This window comes from Homo sapiens, chromosome 10 (genome assembly GCF_000001405.40).
Source record: "Homo sapiens chromosome 10, GRCh38.p14 Primary Assembly".
In the NCBI taxonomy this organism is placed as follows: Eukaryota; Metazoa; Chordata; class Mammalia; order Primates; family Hominidae; genus Homo; species Homo sapiens.
Window position 1 is genome coordinate 133124973 of NC_000010.11, and position 10502 is coordinate 133135474.

At 60.5% G+C, this 10502-nt stretch overlaps 1 protein-coding gene across 3 annotated transcripts in view, besides 2 other annotated features; it reads left to right on the forward strand.

Moving 5' to 3' along the window:
- Positions 1 to 6703, forward strand: part of ADGRA1 (adhesion G protein-coupled receptor A1) — a 43752-nt gene extending 37049 nt beyond the window's left edge. For all 3 annotated transcript variants that reach the window (NM_001083909.3, XM_011540273.1, NM_001291085.2), the window contains 2 exons: positions 2261 to 2359; positions 3357 to 6703. In NM_001083909.3, coding sequence (NP_001077378.1) covers positions 2261 to 2359; positions 3357 to 4539 — 1282 coding nt within the window. In that variant the 3' untranslated portion in view covers positions 4540 to 6703. The remainder of the gene's footprint in view (positions 1 to 2260; positions 2360 to 3356) is intronic.
- Positions 1840 to 2551: an enhancer, noted in NCBI's record as "H3K27ac-H3K4me1 hESC enhancer chr10:134940316-134941027 (GRCh37/hg19 assembly coordinates)". NCBI's record gives its function as "activates a minimal SCP1, AML or CMV promoter by ChIP-STARR-seq in naive H9 embryonic stem cells {active_cell/tissue: H9 hESC(naive)}" and the evidence as "EXISTENCE:reporter gene assay evidence [ECO:0000049][PMID:30033119]".
- Positions 2552 to 3264: an enhancer, noted in NCBI's record as "H3K27ac-H3K4me1 hESC enhancer chr10:134941028-134941740 (GRCh37/hg19 assembly coordinates)". NCBI's record gives its function as "activates a minimal SCP1, AML or CMV promoter by ChIP-STARR-seq in naive H9 embryonic stem cells {active_cell/tissue: H9 hESC(naive)}" and the evidence as "EXISTENCE:reporter gene assay evidence [ECO:0000049][PMID:30033119]".

A 10502-nucleotide genomic window follows, 5' to 3' on the forward strand; every position in this document is an offset into this window, starting at 1 on the left:
GTCCGTCCTGCACCACTCCTGTGTGCTGTGGGTCCATCCTGGACACTTCTGCGTCCCCTGGGCCCCTCTATCTCCCTGTCTTATCGTCTACTTTGCCGGGCATCCGTGTAGCCGCTGTAGCTCTCTTAATCTCACAGTTGGCACTGCATGGCCTTTTCCATCCAGTTACTTTCAACCTACTTGTGTCTTATACTCAAAGTGTTTCTATTCTAGTCACCATGTTCCAGAAGCTTACTATCTATTCTGACAACCTCTGCCTTTGGATCGGAGCTTTTAGCTTGTTAAAATTAATTGGAATTTTGATCTGGTTGGATTTAGTCTACATTTTACTGTTTGTTTTCCGTTTTTACCACTTTAAGTGATTGTTTTGCTCTTTGGAATTCTTCCATTTCTCCTTTACTTCCTTCTTTTGGATTATTTTAATATTTTTAAAAAATTTGTTTTAATGTTTTTGTTTGTTTGTTTGTTTGAGACGGAGTCTCGTTCTGTCGCCCAGGCTGGAGTGCAGTGGCGCGATCTCGGCTCACTGCAAACCCCGCCTCCTGGGTTCACGCCATTCTCCTGTCTCAGCCTCCCGAGTAGCTGGGACTACAGGCGCCCGCCACCACGCCCGGCTAATTTTTTTTTTTGTATTTTTTAGTACAGACGGGGTTTCACTGTGTTAGCCAGGATGGTCTCGGTCTCCTGACCTCGTGATCTGCCCACCTCAGCCTCTCAAAGAGCAGGGATTACAGGCGTGAGCCACCGTGCCCTGCCTAGTTTTTACCTAGTTTCTTATGGTTGCTCTAATGGATTAAAATCCGCAACCTTTCCACAGCCTATGTAGAGTAAAATTGTTCTCTTCATATAACATATTTACAGAAAACTTGAGACTATATAGGACCGTTTCCTGCCTCCCACCTTTCCTCCTGCAGATGCTGGGCAGAGCACCATCCCCAGTGCCCTCCACAAGGCACTGCTAAAGTTCTCTCTTTAAACAGTCATTGAAAGAGGGAGGAAATTAAGAAGGGGGAGACAAATCTTTTCTATTTATCCTTCAGCGTTTCTGGTGTTTCTCCTTCCTTCCGCACAGTCCAAGTCCCCCCAAGCAGCCCAGGGGCTTCCTGCTGTTCTGGTGAAGTCCGCAGCACGGACCCTCGGCCCAAGGCCCACCGTGCAGGTCTGGTTGGGGTTTTCCACAGGTGCGGTGCCTGCAGGAGTGTCTACTCTCCCTCCACCCTGAAGAATTTCATCTAACATGTCCTGAAGTACAGGTCGATACACGGAAAATGCTGTTAGTTTTATTTTTATCAGAAAGTATCTTTATTTCATCTTTATTCTTGAAGGATATCTTCTTGGGATATAGAGTCTGGGAAGCACAGGTTTCCTAGGGAGTCCCTGAGAACTACCAGACACAGGCCACCCCCTCCCACCACTGCACCTTGGAGCCCACTGAACGTGTGGGGCAGGGGTCTGTGGCCAACCCAGGTGTTCGCAGGAGCCGGGGAGACAGCGTCCATGGGGGATGGTCTCTGAGCCGGCCCCTAGGTCACCCATGCTCCGTAGGGGTGGCAGCCAGGGGTTGTCTCATGGGTCCGGGTGGGGGCTGGAGGCGGTGAGCAAGTGCACCCGGTCCGGGACACGCTGCATCCCGCTTGGATCCCTGGGCGCCCTCAGCACCGTTGCCAGGCCCTGCAGAGGGGAAGGTCAGCCCCTGCCCTGGGCTCGGGCTGTGCCTGTCAGGATGAGACTCTGCCCCTCCAAGGCGGGGTTCCTCGGTCTGACAGGGAGCAGATACTTCGGCCCTCCGACCTTCTTCCCCTGAGGCTGAGCGGGGCCTTAAAACTGTTTAAAACGGGGCACTGCTGGTCACTGGCCACGCACTACCCGCGGGGAGGGGCCATGACCTGGGGACCCGGTGGGACGCACAGCTCCCTGTGTGACCCCACGCTGCCCCGGGGAGCAGTCCCGCCTGTAGCCAGGGGCTCCCTGCAGTTGCAGAGAAGTCCGCAGCCAACGGAGCTCTCCCGGGGCCCACCCGTGAAAGGACCTGGTCAGGGCCCTCTCCAGGCGCAGAGGCCCGCGGGAGGCCAGCGAGGCCGGCACTGGCTGCTCGGTCAGTGGTCGGGGGTCGGGGGTCGGGGGTCGGGGTTCTTGGTCTCCTCCTGCTCCGCCCGCACCCGCTGCTCTCCCTTGCCCCGCGGAGTGGGGGAGGGACAGCGCTGACCCCGGAGGATGCAGGCGGCGTCTGCAAGGGGGTCAACGCCTTCCTCCCCGGCAGGTTTTACCTCGTCAGCGGAGGGGTCCCCTTTATCATCTGTGGGGTCACGGCTGCCACGAACATCAGGAATTACGGGACAGAGGACGAGGACACGGCGTAGTGAGTACCGGGCACCCAGAACCGGGAGCTGGGAGCAGCGGGTGGGCTCTGCCTGAGGTCCCTCCCAGGCACCTGTGGTGGGGAAGCCCAGGACGAAGCAGCAAGGCCTGGGCCTGGACCTGGGGCTTGCCGAGAGCTGCGCCCCTCCCAGCTCGCACCCCCGAGGAGTGCGCAGCGCCCCCTCCTCTCCCAGGGAGTCCAACCTAATCTTTGCCTTTGGACAAGGCAGGCCTGGTTTGCCTTCTATGGGAGGGGCCTGGGGACAAATAGCGATTTGGCAACAGCACAGAGCTCAGCTGAGAAGGGAAACCCCATCGAGTAGGAACGGCGGTCCAGCCATCAGTGCCCAGAGCCAGCCTGGAACCTCTCATTCAGGGCCCTCAGTTCCTTCTGCGGCCCCAGGATGGCCCGCCCGTCTGCCCTCCGCCTTGCCCCGCCCACCCAGCTCCACCTCCGCCTGGCCCCGCCCACCCAGCTCCACCTCCGCCTGGCCCCGCCCACCCAGCTCCACCTCCGCCTGGCCCCGCCCACCCAGCTCCACCTCCGCCTGGCCCCGCCCACCCCACGCTGGCCACGCCCACCAGGCTCCACCCTCTGCCTGGCCCCTCCCATCCAGCTCTGCCCTCTGCTCAGCCCCGCCCACCCCACTTCACCTCTTCCTGGCCCCACCCACCCCACACCAGCCCCACCCACCCAGCTCTGTCCTTCCTGCCCCTGCCCACCCAGACCCGCCCTGCACCTGGCCCCCTGCCTGGCTCTGCCTCTACCCGCACCTGGGACACTTTCCTGGCTACCCCACCTCCCAAGCTGGTAGGGCCAATAGGGCCCGGTTCCCATCCACACTCTCAGCGACTCTAGAAACGCCCAAGGCCCCCAAGCCGCAGCTGTGCAAAGCCACTCGCTAGGCCGGGTGGGTGCAGGGCCCTTTGCTCTGCAGGGGGCGTCCTGAGTCCTGGCCGTGCTGGCCCCGCTGACACTGACGTGCGTCTCCCCACAGCTGCTGGATGGCCTGGGAGCCCAGCCTGGGCGCCTTCTACGGCCCAGCCGCCATCATCACCCTGGTCACCTGTGTGTACTTCCTGGGCACCTACGTGCAGCTGCGGCGCCACCCAGGGCGCAGGTACGAGCTGCGCACACAGCCCGAGGAGCAGCGGCGGCTGGCGACACCCGAGGGCGGCCGTGGGATCCGGCCAGGCACCCCACCCGCACACGATGCCCCCGGCGCCTCCGTGCTGCAGAACGAGCACTCATTCCAGGCACAGCTGCGCGCCGCCGCCTTCACGCTGTTCCTGTTCACGGCCACGTGGGCCTTCGGGGCGCTGGCGGTGTCACAGGGCCACTTCCTGGACATGGTCTTCAGCTGCCTGTACGGCGCCTTCTGCGTGACCCTGGGACTCTTCGTGCTCATCCACCACTGCGCCAAGCGTGAGGACGTGTGGCAGTGCTGGTGGGCATGCTGCCCGCCCCGCAAGGACGCCCACCCCGCACTTGACGCCAACGGGGCCGCGCTGGGCCGCGCCGCCTGCCTGCACTCGCCGGGACTGGGCCAGCCACGGGGCTTCGCGCACCCACCGGGCCCCTGCAAGATGACCAACCTGCAGGCCGCGCAGGGCCACGCCAGTTGCCTGTCACCGGCCACCCCGTGCTGCGCCAAGATGCACTGCGAGCCACTGACGGCGGACGAGGCGCACGTGCACCTGCAGGAGGAGGGCGCCTTCGGGCACGACCCCCACCTGCACGGGTGCCTTCAGGGCAGAACTAAGCCGCCCTACTTTAGCCGGCACCCAGCAGAGGAGCCCGAGTACGCCTACCACATCCCATCCAGCCTGGATGGCAGCCCCCGCAGCTCGCGCACAGACAGCCCCCCCAGCTCTCTGGATGGCCCGGCGGGGACACACACGCTGGCCTGCTGCACCCAGGGCGACCCCTTCCCCATGGTCACCCAGCCCGAGGGCAGTGATGGGAGCCCTGCCCTCTACAGCTGCCCCACGCAGCCGGGCAGGGAGGCAGCGCTCGGGCCCGGCCACTTGGAGATGCTGCGGAGGACACAGTCCCTGCCCTTTGGTGGCCCCAGCCAGAACGGGCTGCCCAAGGGTAAATTGCTAGAAGGCCTGCCGTTTGGCACCGACGGGACCGGCAACATCCGAACGGGACCCTGGAAAAACGAAACTACTGTGTAGATGGGGGCAGAGGACACGGTGTTCCTGGAGGAGCTTCAGAGCAGAGTGGGGGGCCCATCTGCCACATGAGGTCACTGGGGGTACCGAAGTGACCCCGCCTTTCAGAAGCCGTTCACACCCCTGCCCCTTCCTTGTGATCACACCCCTGCCCCTTCCTTGTGATCACACCCCTGCCCCTTCCTTGTGATCACACCCCTGCCCCTTCCTTGTGAAAGACCTCAGCGGGGAAACGCTCCGGGCCACGCCCACTCCCCTTATCCCAATTCCGCGTGCTGGTCCCGCACACGGTCATCCGGTTTCTGTCCTGTGGTCTCCAGTCCTGGGGCACCCTAGAGGCAGAGCAGGGGATTCCATCAAAGGACCCACTGAGACCCCAGCATGGCCCTGCCCGAGATGCCCTGCTGCCCACGGAGTCCTGGCTTCCCCTGGTGTGGCCGGGCAGGGCCGAGATCGCAGGAGGGGGCTGCCCTGACCTTTCCCAGTGTTCAATGTGTGTGTCTTGCGTTCTACTCCGGGGGTGGCGGCGGCAGGTCTGTCCCCAGCATTCTCGCTCTGGGCAGAACCCTCGGGACCCTCCGCTGTCGTGTGTCTGAGCCACCCCTGCAGCTTCACAGGGCCCCTGCACACCTCTGCCCACTCAGTGTGCCCTGTCAGCCCTGTCCTTGTCGTAGCCCCAGCCCTGCAGGGCTGAGAGCACCACAGATGCTGGGGGCTGCTCTGGACTTTGGGGATGGCTGTCAGCCTCAGAGGGCCAATGGGGGGCTTTCACGGGCCCAAGGCTTGGGAAAATGCCCAGACATCCTTTAGTGAAGACTCGACTTCCAAAACCAGCCACCGCTGGGACTGGATTCCACTCCAGTATAGGCACTTAGCAACACGAAGGTTTATTCCAAAAAGAAAAGGGGCTGACAGACGGGAGATTCTCATGGACAAAATCCCTTTCCCTTTTTCTCGTCTCCATGAACATCTGGGTACCAAGCCCTGACTCAAAGGACAGATGTGGATGACAGCAAGACTTCTGTGAAAGCAAGTGGCCCGTCCCTAGGTGGGAGGGAGTCCAGAGGGTCATGGGTGTGAAACTGTGCACAGCTTTCCCTCCCTCCCTCTTCCTCCTTGTCTGTGACACATGTGCACCCACACACACACACACAAACACATGTGCATATCACACACATGCACACACACAAACACATGTGCATATCACACACGCGCACACACCCAAACACGTGCATATCACACACATGCACACACACAAACACGTGCATATCACACACATGCACACAAACGTGCATATCACACACACGCACACACACCCAAACACGTGCATATCACACACACGCACACACACAAACACGTGCATATCACACACAAACACACGTGCACACATACTTAACACACACTTGCACCTGCTGTGCACATGTGCACACACACGTAGTAGTGTGTTTTCCAGCCACCCACACACTGGGTTTGCATTGGAGATTGTTTCACCCTGCAAACGTCAACGTCAGCAGACTCGTCGGTGCGCTGTGCTATCCGGTTGGGAGGTCTCACCAGGAGCAGAGCCTCCCTAACGTGCACCTCCGAGAAGAGGGGTGTCGGGGAGTGTTCCCAGCACCTGCTCGGTGGAAGGGCTCTCCGGAGACTGGCACTCAGTATCTGAGTATGAGGAGCCTCACTTCCCGGGGTGTCGGTAAACTTGACCGTGACTCAGTAACCCACAGCGTGCTCCTCCCAGCAAACCCCGTGTGTCCTTACAGGTCGACCAGACGGGCCGTCGGAGGACCACCAGGTGGCTCTGCCTCTGCCTCACCTTCTCACCTGCTTCCATAGCTGATGTGAACCCGAATCCCCACGCTGTGCTGTGTACGCACTGTAGGTGCAGAACCGTCCACACAAAAATACAGTCTTGGCATTGTTTGTTCTTTGTGAGGCTGGTTAATAGCATCCCCGTGTGTTTTTCTCACCCTCGATGGGGTAGAGGGGCACCTGAATGTGTGGCCCCCGTCTGTGTCCTGGATCCTGGGGCAGGGCTGCTCTCCCTGGCCCCTGCAGCCCCTCATGAACTTTCCACCCTCAGTGCCCCCGGCTGAGCAGAGAGGCGTCCCACCATTCAACCAAAGAAAGTCAACATTGAACATTAAACCTCTGTGTGTTTCTATACTGACTTAGCCTCATGAGTCCACTTGGGACTGGTGTTGGGCCATATCCAATTGCACGTAACGTTTTGGAGCATAAACATCCACAGCCCAACCACCCTGAGGGGCTCCTGGCTCGGAGTCAGCTTCCACCAGACCATGAAGCCAGAGCCAGACCCTGCGTTCCGCACCTGACTTTCGTGCCACTTCCTTCCTTGTGTGTGCCCGTGTGTCTGCATGTCGGATGCAACGGAGCGTGGGTGCATGCCAGCCTGTGTGAGTGTGCTTGCCTGTGTGCCTCCGTGTCAGACGTGCTGGAGCGTGGGTGCATGCCGGCCTGTGCGAGTGTGCCCCTGTGCCTGCGTGTTGGATGCAATGGAGCGTGGGTGCATGCCGGCCTGTGTGAGTGTGCTTGCCCGTGTGCCTGCGTGTCAGACGCACTGGAGCGTGGGTGTATGCCGGCCTGTGCGAGTGTGCCCGTGTGCCTGCGTGTCGGATGCAATGGAGCGTGCGTGCATGCCGGCCTGTGTGAGCGTGCTTGCCCGTGTGCCTGTGTGTCGGATGCAATGGAGTGTGCGTGCATGCTGGCCTGTGCGAGTGTGCCTGTGTGCCTGTGTGTGTGTGAGTCCGTGTGCCTGCGTGTCGGATGCGATGGAGTGTGCGTGTATGCTGGCCTGTGTGAGTGTGCTTGCCTGTGTGCCTGTGTGTTTGTGAGTGGCTTGTGGGTTGTGTGGGTGTTGACGTGTTAGTGTGTGAGAGTGTGCGCCTGTGTGGTGTGTAGGTCCCTCTGTGGGAGTTGTGTGCACACATGCACGTGTGCTTGAGGGTAAGTGTGCATGTGTGTGCATGCTCTTTGGAGGAACACTGTGAGGCGGCCCCTCCGCCCTGTCTCCGTGCGGGTGTGTAACTACCACACGGCAACACTGTGGTGACTTTAGTCAGCTTAAAGGACTAGGAAGCAGAAGCTGCCTGTGCCTCCAGACCCTGACAGTTCTTCTCTGGAGCAGTCCTAGCTGAGGAGGCCTCCAGTCCTGGGAGACACACAGTGGCATCTGCCGCGTCGCCCACGAAGGCCCCAGACAGGGCTCAGATCTGGTCGGCCTGCTCTGTCTCTGAATGAGCCACCCCTGCAGGGGCTTTGGGCAGCTGAGGAGCCCCCACTGGTTCTGCGGGGAAGGGGCTGGGTTGGGGCCCGCACGTTCCACCTGCCTGAGCAGGACTGAGGAGGGATGCAGGCTGAATGGGAGCACTGGGCCCCTGGGAGGGCCTTGGCAGAAGGCAGCTCAGCAGCCACACGCTAGGCTGCAGTGTCGCCCATCAGTGACAGCAGCTGCAGGAAGCCTGTCTAGGGACCCTGGAAGGAGCTCAGGGCCCTGCACTGATGTGGTGAATGCCCCCCATGTGCAGAGACTGGCTGCAACGGGCACTTCCACACCTACCCAGTGCCCAGATGGTGCCTGACCGGTCCTGCCACTTGCTCCCTGACCCTTGGTGCTTGCATTTCTCGGGGGACGCTGTCGGGACCAGCATTGGCCTGAGCTGGAACAGTGGGTGTGTTCACTGTGCGGGGACTGTGGACCCTGCTCCTCCACGTCTCACGTGGACCCTGCTCCTCCGTGTCTCACGTGGACCCTGCTCCTCCGTGTCTCACGTGGACCCTGCTCCTCCGTGTCTCACGTGGATCCTGCTCCTCTGTGTCTCACTTCATCACGCTTCCCTTCCACTGCACTGCCAGGGTTTGTACCTGAGCCTAGAGGCTTCTGCAGAGCCTTTACTGCACAGGCACCTTCGGCCAGAAATTCTGCCTGTTGTATTCAAGACCAAGGACTGTTCTGTAGCCTTTGAGGTGGGTGGGGTGGGGGTACCTTGGGCAGATGGAGGCCGGCCCTGTGTCTGCAGGGGCAGCGTGTGCCCAGGGAGGCAGGGGACGGGGTAGGGGGAGGGAAAGGGTGAGCACCCCGTGAGGACAGACAAAGTGCTGTGAGGCCAGGTCAACGGTGGGGTGGAGGCGGGGCCTGGTGGGCATCTGGGGAGGCTACTGGGCACAGGGACAGAGAAGCCAATTCGGAGGGTCCCTGGGGCCAAGTCTGAGCAGGCATCTGAGTGCTGTGGTTGTTCAGGGCAGGCGGAGCAGGAGGGGCATAGGAGGGCCTGGCACACGTGAGAGGCCTGTCCCTCGGGCCACAGCTAGAAGATCAGTGTCTCCCAGTGAGACAGGTCAGGCTGCAAGTGGGCTCAGCAGCAAGACAAGCCCTTCATGCCCGCCGTGCTGGCTCCTCTGGGCCTGGAGGGAGGGCTGCTGGGTGAGCTGGGGCCCACCAGGGCAACTCCCAACACTGGCTGTCCAGGCCTCCTGGGGGCTGCAGGGCCAGTGCCTGAGCACAGACGTGGCTGCCCACAGACGGTCCTGCAAGGACTCAGGACCCCAGACCCCAGGCTGCATCCCCCCGGCCACAGATCTGCAGGCGGCCGACTTCCAGAGGACAAGCAGCACCGCTCAGGCCCAAGTGGGCGCCGACTTGGACCTCACACCTCTGTCCTGTGTCCCAGGAAATGACTGGGGTTGCCAGGGCCTGCCTTTCCTTCCCACTCCCATCCCAGGACGTGGGTACTGGGAAAACCACTGTTAAGAGGACACTCTTAAACTCACTCTAATTACTTCTTTTCTACATAAATATCAACAACTTCCCCTGTAATCGCAACAGACACCTTGCTCCCTACTCACAACTCCAACCACACCCAACATAGCCCTTCAGGGAGGCCTGCAGGTCAGAACCGGCAGCAGAGGCACCCAGAGCTCAAGTCCCTCCCTGCCAGCCGCCCCCCAGCCTCTCCCAGACAGGGTCACTGAACAAGCCACAGAGTGGTGCAGGGCTGACATCGGCCAGGGACAAAGCAGGTGAGTACCCATGTCTGCGCCCTGGCTCAGAGATTACTCCAAGTCCAGGTCCTAGAGGGGTGAATACCCCTGGTGTGGGATTGGCTGGTTTAGTACTCATGTCTCTGTCATGGTCCAGAAAGTACCCTTGGTCTAGGTCCTAGTGGAGTGAGTACCCTGGTGAGGGATAGCCTGGGTTAGTACCCATGTCTCTGCCCTGGTTCGGAGAGTACTCGTGGCCCACGTCTTCGTGGAGTGAGGAACTCTGGCACGTAGTGCCTCCCTGTTAGGGTTAATGCTCGTATTGGATTCATAGTGAGCTGTGTTGCTGGGTAAAATACTCGAGGTGACAGTAGCAGTCTGTGCTGCTGTAGGATGAGGACACATTTTCTGGGCTACTTTCTTGGTGCCACTGGTATGGGCTGAAATTTCACCCTCCGTGTGCCCAGGTGGCGGCGGTGGTGGTGCGTTTGCATGTGGTGGGCTGGAGCTGCGCCCGTGTGTTCTTCTGTGTGTTTGGGAGGCTGAGTTCTCGTGGTCTGAGTCGTCTCAATTGAGTACTAGGTCCTGTGTCACGTGGGCTGTGTATCTGTGGTCTGTGTCTCCTGGTAAACACTGTTTAAAATGAGTTCCGGGGTCTCTGCCTCCAAGGGAGTGCGGGACGCTGGCGTGGGCTGAGCTGCCAGGGTAAAGAATCCACTGCAGCACCTGTGGCTTCAGTGCCTCGGTGGGGTGGGGCCGATGGCCTGCAGGTGAGCAGTGTTAAAGGAAACATGGTTCAATGATGCTTGTTAAAACACGGCAGACTTCATTCGGGGCCACTGGGTCCCTGGGTGTGAGACAGCCTGGGCTGGTACCATAGGGGAGCTGGTCTCCAGGTCCCTGTTGGGGGGGTCTGGTCTCTGGGTCCCTGTGGGGGGGGTCTGGTCTCTGGGTCCCTGTGGTGGGGG